The 21,682-nt window shown below is 45.1% G+C and overlaps 1 protein-coding gene, 1 long non-coding RNA gene and 2 pseudogenes across 5 annotated transcripts in view; 2 read left to right on the top strand and 2 right to left on the bottom strand.

The window, feature by feature from the left end:
• Positions 1 to 21,682, top strand: part of XNDC1N-ZNF705EP-ALG1L9P (XNDC1N-ZNF705EP-ALG1L9P readthrough) — a 123,614-nt gene that overhangs the window by 21,625 nt on the left and 80,307 nt on the right. The window lies entirely within an intron of this gene.
• The window catches only part of XNDC1N (XRCC1 N-terminal domain containing 1, N-terminal like), a 63,086-nt gene that overhangs the window by 21,625 nt on the left and 19,779 nt on the right, over positions 1 to 21,682 (top strand). The window lies entirely within an intron of this gene.
• OR7E126P (olfactory receptor family 7 subfamily E member 126 pseudogene) lies at positions 2,648 to 4,066 on the bottom strand (annotated as a pseudogene).
• OR7E128P (olfactory receptor family 7 subfamily E member 128 pseudogene) lies at positions 12,531 to 13,562 on the bottom strand (annotated as a pseudogene).

Raw genomic sequence — 21,682 nt, 5'->3', positions numbered from 1 at the left:
GAGGGATGTCACTCCTTATGTCACAGGGTTTGTACACCTTGTCAAATTACTCTTATTACCCTTATAAGATATCACTCCTCATATCACCGAGGGTGTACACTCTGTGATATTATCATCATATTCTAGGGAAATGTTTCTTTTAATGCCACAGATGTTGCACACCTTGTGAAATTTTTCGTTATAGTTTTTTGGGATGTGACTCCTAACGTCACACGGGGTGTACACACAGTGATATTACGTGTAATCTTCTATAGAAATGTTACTCGTAAATCACAGGTCCTGTACACCTTTTAATAGTCTTCGTCATATTCTAGGAAAACGTGACTACTAAGGTCACAGGGCATGTAGACCCTGTCATAAAATTCGTAATATCCCAGCGGGAGTTCACTACTAATTTCACAATGCGTGTACACCCTTTGATATTGTTCTTATTATCCTAAAGAGATGTGACTACCGATGTCCCAATGCATGTACATTCTCTGATATTATTCCTTATATCCTCGGGGGATGTGACTTCTAATGTCACACAGCGTGTTCTCCCTGTGTTCTCTTTCATAATATCCTAGTGCAATTGTACTCTTAATGACGCAGGGGGTGTAGGCATTGTGATATTATTCATGATATTCTAGAAGGATGCTACTCCTAATGTCACAGGGGTGTACACCCTGTGATAGTATTCATAATTTCCCAGGGGTCTATACTCCTAATGTCACAGAAGATAACACCCTGTGACATTATTCGTAATATTCTGATGAGATGATTCTCCTAATATCACAGGGGGTGTACACCCTGTGATAATATTCTTACTCCTCCAGGGGGATGTCACTCTTAATGTCACAGGTGTGTTCCTTCTGTGATATTATTGAAAATATGCTAGCTGGGTACTACTACTAATGTCACAATGCGTGTACACCTTGTGATATTATTAGTAATATTGTGGGGGGATGTTACCCCTAATGTTACAGGGGTGTACACCGTGTGATATTGCTCCCAATATTGTAGGGGGATGCTACTCCTAATGTCACAGGTGGTGTACAGCCTTCGGTATTATTTGCAATCTGATAGAGAGATATTACTTTAATGATCACAGTGGGTGTACATACATGGGCTACACCCACTGGGATAATATTTGTAATATCTTAGGGAGATATAACTCCTAATATCACAGTTGGTGTACCCCATGTGTGTACATCCTGTGATATTATTTGTAATATCCATGGTAAACATTACTTCTAATATCCCACAGAGGGTACACCCTGTGATATTTTTCATAATATCATAGGGAGATATTGCTTCTAATAACACAGTGGGTGTACACCATGTGTGTACACTCTGTGATGTGATAGCTTATATCCTAGGGAGATATTCCTTCCAATATCAGAGTGAGTGTACACCTTGTGATATCATTCGTAATCTCCTAGAAAGATGTTGCTGCTAATATCACAGAGGGTGTGCCCCCAGTGACATCATTCGAAATATCCTAGGGAGATGTTACCGTAATGTCACAGGGGTTGTACACCCTGTTATATTATTGTAATATTCTAGGGGGGGTGTTACTTTTAAAGTCACAGGGGTGTACACCCTGTGATGTTATTCGTAATATCCTAGGAAGGGGTTACTCCTAATATCACATGGGTTATCCTAGGAAGAGCTTACTCCTAATATCACACTCCTAATATCACACCCTGTGATAGCATTCGGAATATCCAAAAGGGATGTTACTTTTAATGTCACATGGGGTGTACACCCTTTGATAATATTCGTAAGATCCTAGGGACATATGACTTCAAATATCACGTTGAGTGTACACACATGGTGTACACATTGTGTGTGAACACCTCCTGTGATATTATCCATAATATCCTAGGAAAATGGGACTCCTAATATCACGGTCAGTGGACAACCTGTGATATTATTGGTAATATCCTAAAGAGATGTTACCACTAAGGTCACAATGTATGTGCACCCCCTGATATTATTCGTTATATCCTTGGGGGATGTTACTCCTAATGTCACACGGGGTGTACTCCCTGTGATATTATTCGTAATGTCCTAGGGGTATGTTACTTTCAATGGCACCAGGGTGTATATCATGTGTATTCAACACCTGTGATACTATTCTTAACATCCTAGGGGCATGTTCCTCCTAATGTCACATGGGGTGAACACCATATATGTACACCTGCTGTGATATTATTCGTAATATCCTAGGGGAATATTACTCCTGATGGCGCAGGAGATGTACACCATGTGTGTCAACCGCCTGTGTCATTATTCTTAATATCCTAGGGAGATGTTTCCTTGAATGGCACAAAGTGTGCGCAAAAGGTCACAGAAGCTGTGCACCTTGTGATGTTATCTGCAATACCCTAGAAGGATGTTACTCCTAATATGTCACAGGGGTGTACACACTTTGATATTATTTGTCATCTCATAGAGAGATATGACTTCAAATGTCACAGTGGATGTTCACACATAGTGTATACCCTGTGATATTATTCATAATATCCTAGGGAGATGCAACTCCTGATATCACAGTGTGTGTACCCGGTGTGTGTACACCCTTGATATGAGTCGTGATATCCAGGGAAAATATGACTCCTCATATCACACAGTATGCACACCCTGTGATATTTTTCATCATACTTTAGGGAGATATTGCTTCTAATATCACAGTGGGTGTACCCCATGTGTGTGTACTCTGTGACAGTATATTCTGTATCCTAGGAAGGTATTACTCGTAATGACACAATGGGTGTTCACCCTGTGATATCATTCTTATTTGACCTTGCTGCCTTTTTTAACCCATCCTACAAAAGGAATGGAACAGATAAGAAGATATTGAGATTAGACTGCGCTGCTGTGCGGCCGCCGCAGGACACTTTTCATATCCCTGTTTCTCAGGCTGTAGATGAAGGGGTTCAGCATGGGGGTGACCACCGTGTACATCACTGAGGCCACTGCACGCTTTCTCGGGGAAGATGACACATCTGAACCGAGGTACCCTCCAACGCCTGTTCCATAAAATCAGCAAACAACTGACAGGTGAGACCCACAGGTGGTGAAGGTTTATACTTCCCACCTGATGATGAAACCCTCAGAATGGAGGAAACAATTTTACAGTAAGAGAAAAGGGTCCCCGAGATGGGAAGAAAACCAAATACGGCAGCAGGGAAATACATGTTGATGTTCCTGGTGAAGGTGTCACAGAAGGTTCCCAGAAGAAATTAGGAATTTCCACATCCTTGAAGCAGGTCATTTGTAAGGCAATCAAGTTGTGCAGCTGAGAGTCTAAAAGACTGAGGGAAAAAAAAAAAAAGAAAAAAAAAACAAGGACAACAAATCTAGGAAGCCACAGAAACACGGGTTCAAGATGGCTGAACGATATGGAGGGTGACAGATGGCTACAAACTGGTCGTAGGCCATCACACTCAGGAGCATGTCTCTCTTCCCTGCCTCCAAAAATGGCAAAGAGAGACATCTGAGTCAGGCAGCCTGCATAGGAGATGACTCTGCTGTGAGACTGGATGTCCACAATCATCTTGGGGACCGTGTGGAGGTGAAACCGATGTCAGGCAAGGACAGGTTGGAGAGGAAGAAGTACATGGGGTGTGGAGGTGGGAGTCAGGGCTGACGGCCAGGATGATGAGCAGGTTCTCCAGCACCGTGACCAGGCACATGGACAGGAACAGCCCAGCGACGACCGGCTGCAGTTCTGGATCCTCTGAGAGTTCGAGGAGAAGGAATATAGAGACATCTGTTAGACTCTGTGGGTCTGTATCGTTTGGATACAACCCTCTTTTGCCTGGAAAAGAGGGTTGAAAAATCGGAAACAAGTAAACCAATACCCAGCATTGTGTCTGCATTTTGGATAGAAGCAATTCACAAGTAATGTTTTCAGATTTCAGAGCAATCCACACTCAGCAATATTTTGTAGTTCTGACAAACTCAATTGTCTTATAATGCTTTCATCATCGATTGCTGTGTTATTCACGTCTTGCTGTACACACCTGCCTTAGAGACACTAGCTTCAAGAACGTTCCAAGAACCAGATCGTCATATATAACAAATTCGTAATTGCTAGAAAATACAGCCTATCTTTTCCGAAGGAAAAGATGTAATAAAAGCATTGTCTTCACTTTAAGAAAAAGGTTATCCTAATTAAAGGAAATTAAGAACTCAAATATTTTATTTATTCTACGAGATTGATACAAATTCCCTTGATTTAGAACATTTGTAAACACTGTATAACAGCTGAGACCATGCCATCTGGAAATGAAATGGAAGTTGATAGTTCATAAGCAGAAAATAGTTCCACATGCCAGTTAGGTCCTAGTGATTTCATCATTGTGTTTTCGGACTTTTCTCCTTCGAGAGAGTAATTGCTTACTCAAATCGGTGGGTCTTGTTTTAAAATTCATGGAAGCTCTAACTCCTGTCCTTAGCTTAGGTGGACTTAGAGTTTTCATCAGAAAGTTTGGCCGGACGCGGTGGCTCACGCCGGTAATCCCAACACTTTGGGAGGCCGAGGAGGGCGGATCACTGGGTCAGGAGATCAAGACCATCCTGGCCAACATGGTGTAACCCCACCTCTACTAAAAATACAAACACTTCGCCCGGTATGGCGGCGTGCGCCTGTAGTCCCAGCTACTCGGGAGGCTGAGGCAGGAGAATGGCTTGAACCTGGGAGGCAGAGACTACAGTGAGCTGAAATCACACCACTGCACGCCAGCCTGGGCAACGAGAGCAAAACTCCGTCTCAAAAAACAAAAAACAAAAAGAATCAAGTAAGTCAAAGTCACGCTGATGACAGCCAATTTTGGTGAAGCAAGGAAGTGTCAATTCAATCATTAACATATATTTGACGTTTGCTGTCTCCTATGTGCCAAGCACGATATAGGCTCTGGGGAATCAGAAAACAAAGAGACTCACTTGTTCCTCTTACAGTACTCAGTCCTTACTGAGAGAAGGACAAAACAAAATGTCCTGTCTGGAATGCAGGGAAAGCAGAACTTCAGGTCAGGGGATATTTCCGTTGAATTGTGTGGAGTTGAAGCTGAAAATCTTAAGGAATATATCTAAAATTCATTTTGCCTTTACTTTATGCATCCGTCACCTAGAGATCACGCAGCGGGCACCCACGATCAGCTTAATCATCACTCACTTCCATCGGATCAACTGGAAATCAAGTCAGATGAGAGTGGTGAGTCTCAGAGGATGGATATCTCACCCTTTGCCATACAGAGAAGTAGAAAGTGTGGTATTCAAAATTCATGGCCAGACTCGAAGTCCCGGGTACTATACTTCCTGGTCTTCCAACTCTCAAAAAGTTGTGGTTTTTTTTGTTTTTTGTTTTTGTTTTTGTTGTTTTGAGATGGAGTCTCGTTCTGTTGCCCAGGCTGGAGTGCAGTGGAGTGATCTCAGCTCACCGCAACCTCTGCATGCCAGGTTCAAGCTATTCTCCTGCCTCAGCCTGCGAAGTAGCTGAGATGACAGTCGCCCGCCACTACGGCTGGCTCATTTTTTTCTATTTTGAGTAGAGACGTGGTTTCACCATGTGGGCCAGGCTGGTCTCGAATTACTGACCTTGTGATTCGCCTGCCTCAGCCTCCCAAAGGGCTGGGATTACAGGCGTGAGCCACGGCTCCCAGCTTCCAAAAGCTTTAAGCAGAGCTCAGAGGTCGTAACCACAGGCACATCGGAGGAGCATTTTTGAAACGCTTTCCAGCTTCCTCAATAGGAATGGAAGCCAAACTCCGAATTGATGACTGCTTTGTGGAAGTCAAGAGCTGTACAGAAAGCCAGGAACAGGGGCAAGGGAGAGATGCGCCCCGAATGATCCTGTGCCAATTCTTTCTGGAATCCTCGATGTGATCTCAGCTGTCCTTTCCATACTTGACACAGTGATTGTGGCACCCACTGGTCTAGCTGTGTTCTACAAGGAACCCCGAAAGGGAAGGGCATAGTGAGCAGGGGCATCCGCCTGAGTGACGAGGATTTGAGAGGGCAGGTTGGTTGCAGGGAGAGGACTGGCCAAATGCCATGTGTCTGGACTTAGACTGACTGGTTCAAATTGGACTTCACCCTTTTTGACCTCATGATCTAGTACGAGTTCTATGAAAAGGCGTTGCTCCTTTTCTAGTCTGTAAAATCATCCTGAAATGTGCACTAATAAAGTGGAGACTACGCAGATGAAATGAAACAAGCTGCATAGAGCACAGAGCTCAGAGCCTGGCCTTTAGGAAGCCCTCAGTAAGGGTTCATGATGCCATGGTGTCTGTCATCATCCTCTTTATCCTCATCATCACCTTCATAATCTTTTTGTTGTTCTTAGGGAATAGTTTAGAGGGACTGATTCCCTGCTATCATGAGTGAGATGTCTATGAAAAGGACAACCAGTGGGGGAGGAGAGCAAAATTTTGAATAAGATTTCTGAGACCCCCAGCACAACCAAGAACAGAAACTGCACAGTCTGCTGAGCGGACAGTTTGCACATTGGTCTCCTCCCATCTGTCCACCACACTCTCCTGTTTGTCCTGAGGAGAAGGGAACCAAACAAGGCTCCCGACCCTCCCTCAGCACTCACTTGAAGGGGTGGCCTGCCCCTCCACAGCTGTGGGTATGTCTAGTCGGGTGGGATGAGAGACTGAGGAAAGAAATAATACACAGAGACAAAGTATAGAGAAACAACAGTGAGCCCAGGGGACCGGCGCTCAGCATACCAAGGATCTGCACCGGCACTGGCCTCTGAGTTCCCTCAGTTTTTACTGATTATTATTTTTATTATTTTAGCAAAAACGAATGTAGTAGGAGGGCAGGGTGATAATAAGGAGAAGGTCAGCAACGAAGATGTGAGCAATAGAATCTATGTCATAATGAAGTTCAAGGGAAGGTACTATGATTGGACATGCACATCAGCCAGATTTAGGTTTCTCTCCACCCAAACATCTCAGTGGAGTAAAGAATAACAAGGCAGCATTGCTGCAAACTTGTCTCGCCTCCCACCATAGGGCGGTTTTTCCCCCATCTCAGAATTGAACAAATGTACAATCGGGTTTTATACCGAGACATTCATTTCCCAGGGGCAGGCAGGAGACAGGGGCCTTCCTCTCTCTCAACTGCAAGAGGCTTTCCTCTTTGACTAATCCACCTCAGCACAGACCCTTTACGGGTGTCGGGCTCGGCGACGGTCAGGTCTTTCTCCTCCCACGAGGCCACTTTTCAGACTATCACATGGGGAGAAAACTTGGACAATATGCCGCTTTCAAGGGCAGGGCTCCCTGCGGCTTTCCACAGTGTATCGTGCCCCTGGTTTATTGAGAATAGAGAATGGCGATGACTTTTACCAAGTATACTGCTTGGAAACATCTTGTTAACAAGGCACGTCCTGCGCAGCCCTAGATCCCTTAAACCTTGATTTCATACAACACATGTTTTTGTGAGCTTCAGGTTGGGTCAAAGTGTCTGGGGCAAATCTACACATTAACAACATCTCAGCAAAGCAATTGTTGAAAGTTCAGGTCTTTCTCCAAATGGAGTCTTTTATGTCTTTCCTTTCTACATAGACACAGTAAGAGTCTGATCTCTTTCTTTTCCCTACACTCACTGAACTGCCCTTCCCCTCTGCTGGGCCATGACCACGGAGAACAGGTCCACTGTCCTCCCTGTGTGGTGCACCATGGAGGCTCAGACTCCGTCTTCAAGGCTGGCAAGAAGACAGGGTGATACAGGTGACGGGAGTGGAGCCCACAGGACTGGAACCCCACACTGCAGGGCTGGAGGCACAGACTGACTATTTACTATTCTGTGGCCTGGGGGGCTCAAGGCACAGAGCTCCTTCTTAGCCAAAGTCACCCAAGTTCCCCAACCTCTAAGGATGTCCGTATAATAATGCAAGAAGAAGAAGAGAAAAGTGAGTGTCCATAGAAGATTTGGGGCTCTTCCTCTAATCAGGAGAAAGCTAGTGTGTATTCTTCCCTTCTTTCTTTTCTTTTTAAACATCCAACTGCTTTAATTTTCATCTTTTATTATGGGAAAATATACCACATATAAATATTAAAAATTATAAATATATATTACTTCATATAGAATGGCCAGTATAAACATTTACAGTTTCCATGCTTTTTCAGTTTACAGTTTCATGACATTAAGTACGTTCACATTGTTTAGCAACCATCACCGTCATCGTCTCCAGAACAGTTTTATCTTTCAAAATGGAAATTGCACCCATTCACCAAGCTCTCCACTCCTCTTTCTCGCCCACCCCTGGGGGCCACCTTTCTAGTTTGTAACTCTATGAGTTTAACTACTCTAGACACTTAATAGATAAATGGAATCATACTGTATTTAATTGTTTTGTTTTGGAAACAGAGTCTTTCTCTGTCACCCCGGCTGGAGTGCAGTGGCGTGATGTCGCCTCACTGCAATCTCCACATCCTGGGTTCAAGCGATTCTTGTGTCTCAGCCTCCCGAGTAGCTGGGATTACAGGCGTGCGCTATCACGCCCAGCTAATTTTTGTATTTTTAATAGAGACGAGCTTTCACCATATTGGCCAGGCTGTTCTCGAACTCCTGAGCTTAAGTGATCCGCCTGCCTCAGCCTCCCAAAGTGCTGGGGTTACATGTGCGAGCCACTGAGACTGGGCATGTTTATCCTTTTGGGATTTATTTATTTCACTGACGATAATGTCTTCAAGGTTCATCCATGTTGCGGCCTGCGTCAGAAGTGCCTGTTTGTTTTTGTTGTTTTTTTTTTCATTTGGTTTTATTTTGTTTTGCTTTGCGTTTTCATGGAGTCTCACTCTGTCGCACAGGCTGGAGTGCAGTGGCACAATCGGGGCTCACTCCAACCTCCGCCTCCTGGGTTCCAGCGATTCTTGTGCCTCAGCCTCTTGAGTAGTTGGGACTATAGGCACACGCCACCACGCTCGTTTCATTTTTTGCATTTTCAGTAGAGACAGGGTTTCACCAAGATGGCCAGGCTGGTCTTGAATTCCTGACCTCAGGTGATCCGCCCACCTCGGTCTTCCAAGACGCTGCGATTACAGGCGTGAGCCACCGCACCGGCCAGAAGTGCCTGCCTTTTGAAGGCTGAATGGTCTTCCATTGTATGAAAGAACTGCAGTGTGCTTTTTCATTCATCTGTCCACGAACCCTTGGGTTGCTTCCACATTTTGGCTGTTGTGAATAATGCTGCTATGAATATGGGTGTACACAAATCTGTCTTCCACTCCTGGCTTCTAATTCTTTTTGGTAGGTACCCACAAATGCAACTGCGGGAACATCTGATCATTCTGTTTCTAATTTTTCCAGTACACGCCATACTATTTTCCCCCACTCCTTCACGGTTTTACATTCCCTCCGATCAGAATCGAGCATTCCTACTTCTCTCTAGTCTCACCAATGCCTGTTTGTTTATCACATCCATCCTAATCTGTGGTATCACATTCTTGGTTTGATTTGTGCTTCCCTATGATGAGTGATTTTGAACATCACCTTAGATGCTTATTGGCCATTGTGATATCTTCTTTAGGGACACGTCTACTCGCGTCTTCTGACCATTGTTGATGGGATGCTTTGGGTTTCTTGTTGTTTAGTTCTAGCTGTTCTTTATATATGATGGCTGTCAGCCTCTTTTCAGATATATGCTTTGCAAATATATTTCCTAATCCATGGGTTATGTTTTCACTCAGTTCGCCATGTTTTTTGCTGCACAAAAGTGTCTGTCATTTATATGTAATCCAAGGAATCTAATTTTCTTTTGTTGCCTATGCTTTTGGTGTCATATCCCAGAGAACATTGCCCAATCTGATGTCATGAAAGCGTGGCCAATGTTTTCTTTTAGGCGTGTCATACTTTTAGCGCTTGGGGTGAGGTCTCTGATCCAGTTTTTGTTAATTTTTGCACCTGGTGTGACATAGGGTCCACCTTCATTCTTCTGTATGTGGAAATCAAGTTTCTCCAACACCATTTCTTGAAAAGGCTGCTGTTCCACCAATGAGCTTTCTTAGCACTCGTGAAAAATCATGTGAACATAAAGGTGAGAAGTTATTTCTGGGCTCCAAAACAAACAAACAACAACTGACAACAGATAAGGATACAGCATGGGCCGGCCGCAGTCGCTCACGCCTGTAATCCCAGCCCTTTGGGAGGCCGAGGCGGGTGGATCACGTGAGGTCAGGAGTTGAAGACCAGCCTGACCGACAGGGAGAAACCCCCGTCTCTACCAGAAATACAACATTAGCTGGGCGTGCTGGCGCATGCCTGTAATCCCAGCTACTCGGGAGGTGGAGGCAGGAGAATCGCTTGAACCCAGGAGGCAGAGGTTGCGGTGAGCCAAGATTGCACCATGACACTCCAGCCTGGGCAACAAGAGTGAAACTCCATCTCAAAACAAAAAACAAAAAACCAGCATGATTTCAAGAGCAGAAACAGAAGAGCTTAAAAACCAGCATAATGAGAAAGTTAGGAAGCTTCTTACCAAAGCATCTGGAAATATGCAAGCAATTCTTGTGAACTAAAATTTTCATACTGTACTATCAAACACTAGAACTCACTTATTCCATCTTTCTGTATTTTGGGACTCAATTATCCACTTTTCTTCATTCCCTATCTCACCCCTTTTCTTCCTAGCGTCTGCTAACCATCTTTATACTTTCCACCTTCTTGAGATTCCTTTTGTGTGCAGGTGTGTGATGGAGTCTCTTTCTGTTGCCCAGGTTGGTGTACACAGGCACAGTCCGGGCTCACTGCAAGCTCCGCCTCCTGAGTTCAAGCGCTTCTTGGGCCTCAGCCCTCCGAGTAGCTGAGACTACAGGCACAGGTCACCACGCCCGACTCATTTTTTGTGTTTACCGTGGAGACGGGGTTTCATCATGTTGGCCAGGCGGGTCTCGAACTCCTGGACTCAAGTGATCTGTGTGACTCGGCCTCTTAGAGTGCTGGGATTACAGGCCTGAGCCACCACACCTGGCCATGGTTTCCTTTTTTCTTCCTACATAGAAGTGAGGACATGAAATATTTGTCATTCTGTGCCTGGCTTCTTTCATTTAATGTACAGATCTGCAGTCTCATCCATTTTGTCTGCAGTGGAGAGGAGTTTCTTCCTTTTTAGGTTGCATAATACTTCATTGGGTGTGTATACCACAGTTTCTTCATTGAAACAAATTTCTGAAGAGCAAATATTTTTAAAATGTCTCGGAATGTGAAACTTCAGGGATACTGTGCCCATTTTATTCTTTTCTGTTTCCCATCTTATGTATATGCAAGTGTATAACAAAGCAGCAATCAATGTGTGTATAAATGTAGAACTTCAACAAATGTAAAATGTAAATGCTAAGTGGTGGCTGGGCGCGGTCGCGCATGCCTGTAATCCCAGCAGTTTGGGGGGCGGAAGCGGGCGGATCACCTGAGGTCGGGAGTTCAAGACCAGCCTGACCAAAATGGAGAAACACTGTCTCTATTAACAATACAAAAAAAAAAAAAAAAAAAAAAATAGCCAGGCATGGTAGCGCATGCCTGTAATCCCAGCTACTTGGAAGGCTGAGACAGGAGAATTGCTTGAATAGGGGAGGCAGAAGTTGCAGTGAGCCGAGACCGTGCCATTGAACTCCAGCCTGGGCAACAAGAGTGAAACTCTGACTCAAAAAAAAAGGGAAAGAAATAGAAAATGCGAAATGGTAAGAAAAAACAACATAATAAATATTTGTATGGTGTTGCTGGACAATGCATTTGAAGATAATATTTGAAGAAATCATACTACAATTAATTTCTGCTCTTACTCTTTGGAGCTTGATGCCTCTAAAAACTTCATTATTGGAACCACCTCTGGTGCTTTAAAAGAAAAAAAAAAAAAATCCACACACTCACACAGGTGCAAGGAAATCAGAATCTCAGGTATTGAGACCCAGGCCTCATCATTTTTAACTCCCCAGGTGATTTGACTCAAAGCCAAGATTGAAGAATGGCGACATGGATCTCTCTACATAACCTGCCTAAATAGATTCTATAGAAGCAGTTTATAAAGAAATTCCACATGAACTGTGGAAGAGGATATGAATTTGATGTACAGTATGTCCTCACTTAACATCTTTGAAAGTCTCTTGGAAACGTCACCTTGAAGCAAAATTATGTATAGTGAAACCACTTATTTTTCATCAACAGTATAACTACATAACTTTGAACAACCAATGGTGTTGGAGGACCTCCTGTACATTGTTTCCATAAAGTCAGTTTTCAGGGAATTCCAAAACGAAGTGAGGACTTCGTGTATATGAAAAGATGGTTGTGATTCCACCTGGATGACAGGGTTATTGCTCAGAAACTAAAAGAGGCCGCCTAGGTATAGAGGATTCAGTCATGAGGTTTCTGCTAAACAAAGGATCCCAGAATCCTCACCCATTCCAGTTAAAGGCATAACGAAGAAAGCAATATTCACAAAGGAAATGCGGAAAGGAATAAAAGCCATCAAGCCACAAAAATAATGTGACTAAGAGGCAGGATTTGCAGAAGTAGAGATTTAATGTGGTTGCCCTTACCCACACAAGAAAAAGGATGGAACAGATCATGAGATTCGACTGTTCTGCTGAGCAGCCTCCACAGGGCACTTTGTATGTCCCTGTTTCTCAGGCTGTAGATGAAAAGGTTCAGCATGGGGGTGACCACAGCGTACATCACTGACGCCATCACACCATTCCTGGGGGGTGGTGACAGAGCTGAAGTCAAGTACACGCCAATGCCTGTTCCATAAAATCAGCAAACAACTGCTAGGTGAGAGCCACAGGTGGAGAAGGCTTTATACTTCCCATCTGACGATGAAATCCTAAGAATGGAGGGGACGATTTTATAGTAAGACACAAGGATCCCTGAAATGGGAAGAAAACCAAACATAGTATTATGGAAATGCATGAATATGCTATTGATGACGCTGTCAGAACAAGCAAGTTTGAGAAGTTGAGAGGGGTCACAGACAGAATTAGAGATTTCCACATTCTTGATGATGGTGAATTGTAACACAATCCAACTGTGCAGCTGGGAATCCAACAGGCTAAGGAAAAAGGACACCAAAACGAAGAAGACACAGAGGTGAGGATTCACGATGACTGGGTAGTGCAGAGGGCAACAGATGGCTACAAAGCAGTCATAGGTCATCACAGTCAGGAGCATGCCTTCTATACATGCAAAAAGGAGCAAGAAGGAAATCTGTGTCAGGCAGTCCGCATGAGAGATGACTCTGCTATGCGACTGCATGTCCACAATCATATTGGGAACCGTGGCCGAGGTGAAACCGGTGTCAGCCCAGCACAGGTTGGAGAGGAAGAAGTACGTGGGGGTGTGGAGGGGGGAGTCAGAGCTGACAGCCAGGATGTTGAGCAGGTTCCTCAGCACCATGACCAGATGCATGGACAGGGACAGGGACAGCAAAGCGAGGAGCGGCTGCAGTTCTGGATCCTCTGAGAGTCCCAGGAGGAGGAATTCTCAGACACTTGTGAGATTCCGTGGCTCTGTGTGTCTTGGACACCTTGAGAAGGAAAGAGGATTGGAAAAATAAAAGATAAAAACCAGCCCTTAATGCTGGATGCAAGCAATTCACAAGGAACATCTTGACACTTGCGGACCATACACCGCCAGCAATGTTTCTCAGTTGTGACAATTCCAAAAATCTCAGAATTATTACGTGATTTACTTTTTGCTATACAAGGCTTTCTGTTCATACTACTTTAGAGAAAATCCACTGAAGAATATTAGAAGACCAAAACGTCACATATAACAACTCCGTGATCTCAGTAAAATACGGCCTACTCTTTTCAGAAAAAATACAATGCAATGACAGTGTCCTTCTCTCTTGAAGAAAAAGATCTCAGTCTAATTGAAAGAAATTAAGAAGCCATGAAATACACTCTACTTTATTCTGACACGGTGCTACAACTTCCATTGATGTAGAATATGTAAAAGGACGACACAAGAGCTAGGACCCCATTATCTGAAAATGAAATCAAATATAATTCTCAATCGGAAGAGTTTTTCCCATGCCAATTACTTTTCATATTTATCATCATCCTTCGGTTTTCTGACATCATTTCTTCATAAAAGTACATGCACACTCAAAAATGGGAGCTGTGTTTCCAAATGAATTGAATCTATAACTTTTGGCCCAGTACCATGGCTCACACCTGTAATCCCAGCACTTTGGGCGGCCGAGGCTGATGGATCACCTGAGGTCAGGAGTTCCAGACCAGCCTGACCAACCTGGTGAAACCCCGTCTCCAGTGAAAATTAAAAAAAAAAATTAGCCGGGCATGGTGGCTGGTAACCCTAGCTACTCAGGAGGCTGAAGCAGGAGAATCCCTTAGAACCTGGAAGGCAGAGATTGGACACCATGTGACAGGATTTTTGATATCCTAGGGAGATACTGCTCCTGAAAGTAGAGTGGGCGTACACCCTGTGATATTATTTGTAATATCCTAGAAAGATATTGCTCCTAATATCATGGTGGCTCTACACCCTGTGATCTTAATTGTAATATCCTACAGAGATATTACTCCTAATAATACAGTGGGTGTACACCCTGTGATATTATTCATAAGGTATTACAGAGATACGACTCCTGATATCACAGTGAGTGTACACCATGTTGGTACACCCTGTGATCTTATTTGTAACAACTTAGAAAAATATTACACCTAATATCAAAGTGGGTGTACACCCTGCGATGTTATTTGTTATCTACTAGGTAGATATTACTCCTAATACCACAGTGAGTGTACACCATGTGTGTACAGACTGTGAAATTATTCGTAATACCCTAGGAAGATATTACTCCTCATGTCACAGTGGGTGTACACCGTGAGTGATATTTTTTTCTAATATCCAGCGGGGGAGAGGATGATATTGCTTCCAATATCACAGAAGTTGTACACCCCCCTGTGATATTGTTCCTAATATCCAGGGAAGGAGAGGATGACATTATTCGCAATATCACTGGGGGTGTACCACCTCCCGCCGGGATATTGTTCTTAATATCCGGAGGTGGAGAGAATGATGTTACTCCCAATATCACAGGGGGTGTACACCACCCCTGTTTGTAAACACCCCCTGTGATATTGTTCCAAATGGCCTGTGAAAGAGTAACCATGACTCCCGTCATCGTGGGGGGTGTTCAGCCCCGATGATATTGTTTTCTAACATCCAGGGAAGGAGAGTATGCTATTACTCCCAATATCGCAGGGGTTGTACACCCTTTTTTGTTTTTGTGCCCAATGTCCAGGAAAATAGAGGATGATATTACTCCCAATATCGAAGTAATTGTACAGCACCCCTGTGATATTCTTCCTAATATCCAGAAAGGAAAAGAATGATATTGCTGTCAACAGTGTAGGAAACGTATACCCGCGGTGTGGTATCTTTCTCTGTATCCAGGTCGGGAGAGGATCATATTACATCCAATGTCGCAGGGTGTGTACAACCCCTTTGTGATCTGGTTGCTAACATCCAGGTTTGGGGAGGATGACATTACTCCCAAAATCGCAGGCGGAGTACACATCCCCATGACCTTGTTAGTCATTTCCTGGGTGGAGAGGATGATCTTACTCCCAATATCGCAGGGGGTGAACACACCCCTGTGAAAATCTTCCTATTTTCAGAGGGAGAGAGGATGATATTACTCCCAGGACCGCAGGGGGTTTCCACAGCCCTGTGATCCTCTTCCTAATATCCACAGGGAGAGAGGATGATATGACTCCCAATATCGCAGGGGGGGTACACCACCCTGTGATATTGTTCCTAACATCCAGAGTGAAAGAGTATGATATCATTTTCAATATCGCAGAGGGTGTACACCCCTCCTGTAATATTGTTCTGAATACCCTGGGAGGGAGAGGATAAGGTTACGTTGAATATCACAGGGAATGTACACCTTCCCCCTGATACCCTTCCTAATGTCCAGGGGAAGAGAGGAAAATTTCACTCCCAACATCACAGAGGCAGTACACCCCTCCTGTGATGTTGTTCCCAATATGCAAGGGGGGAGAGGATGATACTACTCTCAATATCGCAGGGATGTTCACATCCCCAGTGACATTTTTTCCTAATATCTAGGGGAGAGAGAATTCTATGACAGCAAAGGTCGCAGGGTCTGTACATCCCTTCCTGATATTGTTCCTAATATCCAGGGGGGAAGAGGATGATATCAAATATGAAAGGGGGTGTACATCCCCCACCCCTACGATATTGTTCTTAATAATCATGAGGGGAGACGATGATATTCCTCCAAATATCGCAGGGGTTGTTCACAACCCCCTGTGATATTGTTTCTGATATCCAGGGGGAGAGAAAATCATATTATTGCCAATATTGCAGGTGGTGTATACCCCACCTGAAATATGGCACCGAATATCCAAAGAGGGAGAGGATAGTATTCATACCAATATCAAAGTGTGTGTACACGCCCCTTGTGATATGGTTTTTAGTATCCAGTGGGCGGGAGGATGATATCCCAATATCCCAGAAGGTGTACACTATCCCTGAGATATTGTCCCTAAGTTCCAGAAGGGAGAGGATGATATCACTCCCAATATCTCAGAAGTTATACATCCCCCGTGATATTGTTCGTCATATCCAGGGAGGCGCAGGATGACATTCCATTGAATTTCGCGACAGGCGTACACGCACAATGTGATATTGTTCCTAATATCCAAGAAGGGAGAGGATGATATTACTCCCAATAAAGCAGTGGGTGTACATCAACCCTGTGTTATTGTCTCTAATATCCGGGGCCGGGGGAGGAGGGGAGAGGATAACATTCCCTCAAATTTAGCAGGTGGTTTGATGCCCCTTGTGGTGTTGTTTTAAATATCCAGAGGGGAAAACAATAGTACTATTTTTGATAGTCCGATTCATCCACTCCACCTTTCCGGAACTCTGAGGCCGGGAGGCTGCATGCAGTTTCCGTGTGATCCCCAATACCTTTGCCGTCTTCTGTACCAAGGCAACCAAAAACGCAGGCCCGTTGTCTGAGCCGATCCCTAAAGGCCGTCGAAATCTAGGAATCAGATCACGAAGAAGCACAGGGGTTACTTCACGAGATTTCTCTGTTCGTGTTTGATAGGCCTCCTCCCACCCAGAGTAGGTATGCCCAAGAACTACTACATACTTGTTACCTCCACATTTTGACATCTCTGTGAAGTCCACTTGGAGACCTTCAAAGGGGGCTGCTCCAGAAGCTCTTATGCCGGGCAGAACAGCTAGACCTTGCCTCATATCATGCTGTCGGCAGGTAACACATGGCTGCCTCACCGTTTTGGCCAGGGCAGACAAAGGCGAGATGTAGAAATACCGGCCTAACAACTTTTCCAGTGACTCCTGACCTCGATGGGTGGTTTCTTGCACAGCCAGTACAACTGCAGCTCCTAGCAGCTGTGGCACAGCTACTCTCCCATCTGCTAACCGAATCCATCCTTCCTCCATCACTTGTCCTTCCCTCTACCTGGAGAAAGTCCTTTTCTTCGTTAGAAGAAGTAGGTCCCAGATCAGGTGCTTGAGGGAGCCCTGATGCCCAGAAGGGGGAAGATGCTGCTTTTCGAGCCTCTGAGTCAGCGCGGGAATTCCGCAAACCCAGCCAGGTGGAAGCTCGCTGGTGTCCCCTGCAATGCATAACTGCCACCTTGTGGGGTTTCCATACTGCTTCTAATCATTGCAAGATTTCTTGTTGATATTTTCTGTCTCTTCCCTAGAATTCAATAGGCCCTTTTCTTTCTATCACGCTCCATGAACTTGAAGGGTTGAAAAGACATACCTAGAATCAGTGTAAATGTTGACAGTCTCACCCTCACTGAGTTCTAAGGCCCGAATGAAAGCAATGAGTTCAGCTTTCTAGGCTGAAGTGGCCTGGGGCAATGATGTGGCTTCAACAACAGTGTCCAGGGTTACCCCTGCATACCCTCCACCTCTCCTTGGGGGTTGAAGAAGCTGCTCCCATCCAAGTATAGTTCCCAGTCTACTGATGCCCAAGGCTGGTCCCAGAGGTCAGGTCTGCTAGAGTCAATTGAGTCCAACACTTCTACACAACCAGGCTTGACAGGGCTCTTTGATACCGGGAGCAAGGTGGCGGGGTGGAGGGTGTTACAAACTTCAATGGTTATACGGGGATTTTCACAGAGCAAAGTCTGGTAGTCGGTGAGTGTGGCATTCGTTAGCCAATGATGTCCTTTAGTATTCATTAAAGTCACGACAGCACGGGAGGCCTTAATGTTCAGTTTTTGCCCAAGAGTCAGCTTATTTGCTTCTTGTACTAGCAGGGCAGTTGCTGCCAAGGCCCTCCAACAGGGGGGCCATCCTTTAGAAACCCCGTCTAGTTGTTGAGAGAGGTAGGCCCCCAGCCTCGGCCTGGGCCCCACAGTCTGGGTTCAAAGTCCAGCTGCCATCTTTTCTCTCTCTGATGCATATAATGGAAAAGGCTTTGTTAGATCGGGTAGCCCCAGGGCTGGGGCTGCCAGAGGTTTTCCTTTAACTCATGAAAGCCTTGCTGTTGTTGGCATCCGCATTCCAAAGTTTCCCGGTCCCCGCCCCCTTGGTGACCGCATACAAAGGCTTGGCTAATACTGCAAAGTTTGGGATCCATAGTCTACAAAACCCCACAGCTCCTAAGAATTCTCTCACCTGCCTTCAGCTCTTAGGCTCCGCTAGATGGCAAATGACCTGCTTTCTTTCTGATCCCGGGCTGCCTTCCCACCCCTGTCGGATAGTCAATCCCAAGTAACATACCTTCTGTCAGCAGATCTGAGCTTTCCTCTTGGACACTTCTATCCACAGTCCTCCAGGTGCCGGTGTAGGGCATCTGTTCCCTTGGCACACCCAACTGCCGTGGGGTGTCCCAGCAGAAGGTCATCAACCTACTAGAGCAACACGCAGCCTAGGTCTCTGCTGGGAAACTTCTGGAGGTCTCGAGCCCACGCCTCCCCGAAGATGGTGGGGGAGTTCTTGACCCCTTGGGGAAGCCCGGTCCAAGTGTACTGAGTAGTGACACCTGACTCCGGATCTTCCCACTGAAAGGCAAACAGCTTCTGCCTCTCAGGGGCTAATCTGATAGGAAAGAAAGCATCTTTCAGGTCCAAGCAGGTGAACCAGCTGTCCTCAGCTGGCGGGAACCCCAACAATGTGGACGGGTTAGGTACTGTTGGATGGAAAGTCAGTTTAGCTTGATGAAGCAAGCGCAAATCCTGTACCGGCTGGTAGTTCTTGGTCCGTGACTTGGGAACAGACAGGAGGGGAGTGTTCCATGGAGACCGACAAGGAACAATAATTCCAAAAGTTCTTAGGTGCTTGAGATGGACCTGGATACCTTGAAGGGCTTCTCTGGGGACCGGCCCCTGTTTTTGCCTCACTGGCAGGGCCCCAGTCTTAACTGGCCAATCCTGGAGGGTTGTCTTCTGCCCATACTCTTGGCCACCGCTTAGCCAGAGCTGGTCTTCTCTCTTGGCCTGGCTCAGTTCAGAAAAGTCTCCTTTCCTCCTCTCGGGGGACCACAAGTGTCATAATGACTCCCGTTCCTGGTAACTTTAGCAGCAAAGAGCCGTGCTCTGTCAAAGAGATAGTGGCTCTCAGCTTGCTGAGCAAGTCCCTTCCCGAAAAGGTCAAGGGACAGTCAGGCATGTACCAAAACTGATGAATGACTTTATATCCTCCTACAGTACAAGTGCAAGGCAAGCAGAAAGCTTGCTTTGCTGAAACCCCCGTGGCTCCGATGACGTCAATAGTCTTTTTGGATAACCGGGCGACCGGGGCGGTTACTAGCGAATGTTCAGCACCGCTATCTACAAGAAAGTCAATGTCTCCACCCCCGACTGTCATTGTGACCAGAGGCTCAATGGGGACGCTTGAGTCTTGTCTCCCTCAGTTCAAGAACCCTTCTGCCAGGTTGAGCAGGGCCCCTTCCTCCTTGTCCGGGGCCTCCTGCTCTGAGTCACCTTGTTTTCTTTTGAGCTGAGGGCATTTGTTCTTCCACTGTCCTATTTCTTTACAATCAGCACACTGGTTATGCTGCAAACTCTGACAGCCAAGCTGAGTTTCTTTCCCAGGGCCTCCCTTCCCTTGCCTCTTTGTGGGGGCCCCTCTGATTGCTGCAGCTGACAAACAGGTCGGCATATCGCCGGGCCTGACCTCCATTCTCTTTGCCGTTTTCCTTACGGCTTACTGCATCCCTGTTTACAAACACCTGGCTAGCTATTTCTAGTAATTGGGATGGATTCATCCCTGCAAGCCCAGCCTGTTTCTGCAGTTTTCTTCTCATGTCTTCTGCGCTTTGACGGACTAAAGCCATGGGAATCATGCGCTGATTTTCAGGGCTATCAGGATCAAAGGGAGTATACATACGATAGGCCTCCCACAGTCTCTCGTAGAATTGTGTTGGACTTTCTTCTTTACCCTGAATGTCCTCAGAGAGCTTGTTAACGTTTGTGGCCTTCTGAGCTCCCCTCATTAATCCTTCCAAGAGAGCTTCCCTGTCTCGGTTTAGCCTTTGCATATCCTCTCTTTCATGTGGGTCCAACTGGGGGTCTGTTCCTGGCAACTGGGTCCTTCCATACTCTTGGGGGTTTTGATAATCAGCTGGTGCATGTTCCTCTAGCCACTTAGTTGCTGCTTGAGGACTCTCCGCCTTTCTTCGCTGTTAAAGAGGAACATGAGCAACTGGTGCCAATCAGCCCAGGTGGGGTTGTGGGTCTGGATAACAGTTTGGAGCAAATCAATTAGGGCTTGTGGCTTTTCGGTATAGGACGGTGTATTGTTTTTTCAGTTGAGAAGATTGACGCAGGTGAAGGGCTGGTACCCAAAAACACGCCTCTCCACCACGTGACCATCCTCATCTATCCCAGTCTACGGCTGCTCTCTCAGGGGCATTTGTGTCCCCTTTTGGGTCGTAAACGAGCTGCCGAGGGAGGAGTGGAATGGCGCAATGCGACTTACCGCAATTAATAATCTCAATTATTAATTGACACTAATAATTATCAATATTAATAACCCATAATATTTTTAAAAATCAATACCGATAATAATGATAATTAATATTAAATAGTTATACTAATGGTAACAATACATGATTAATATTAATGATTAATGATGCCTGATATTAATAACTGATATTGATCTTATTCATTAGAAAACAGTAATATTAGCTCCTAAGAATTAATATTAATATTAATAATCTGAAAACTTTATTAGCAATTATTTCTTAATATTAATATTAATATCGGTCATTCATATTCATGTTAATAATAAATGAGGTATAATTCACACTAATATTACTCCCTAATACCTCAGTGGGTGTACACCCACCTGTGATATTGCTCCTAATGTCCAGGGTGGGAGAGAGCATGATATTACGTTCAATATCGCAGTAGGTGTACACTCAGCCGGTGATATTGATCCGAATATAATCTCCAAGGGGTGGAGTATGATGTTACTCCCAATATAGCACTGGGTGTGCATCCACCCGGTGATTTTGCTCCTAATTCACAGAAGAAGAAAATGCTATTACTCCCAACATCGCAGGAAGTGTACACCCCCGTGTGAGATGGTCCTTAATAACATTCCAAAGCGGAGGGGCTGATAGGACTATATATATGGCAGAAAGTGGACACCACCAAGGATATTGTTCCCATGATCCTGGAGGGAAGAATGTGATATTACT

Source organism: Homo sapiens, chromosome 11 (genome assembly GCF_000001405.40).
Source record: "Homo sapiens chromosome 11, GRCh38.p14 Primary Assembly".
Classification (NCBI taxonomy): Eukaryota; Metazoa; Chordata; class Mammalia; order Primates; family Hominidae; genus Homo; species Homo sapiens.
Note: the sequence above shows the minus strand (reverse complement) of the source record. Positions and strands in the feature narration are given on the sequence as shown.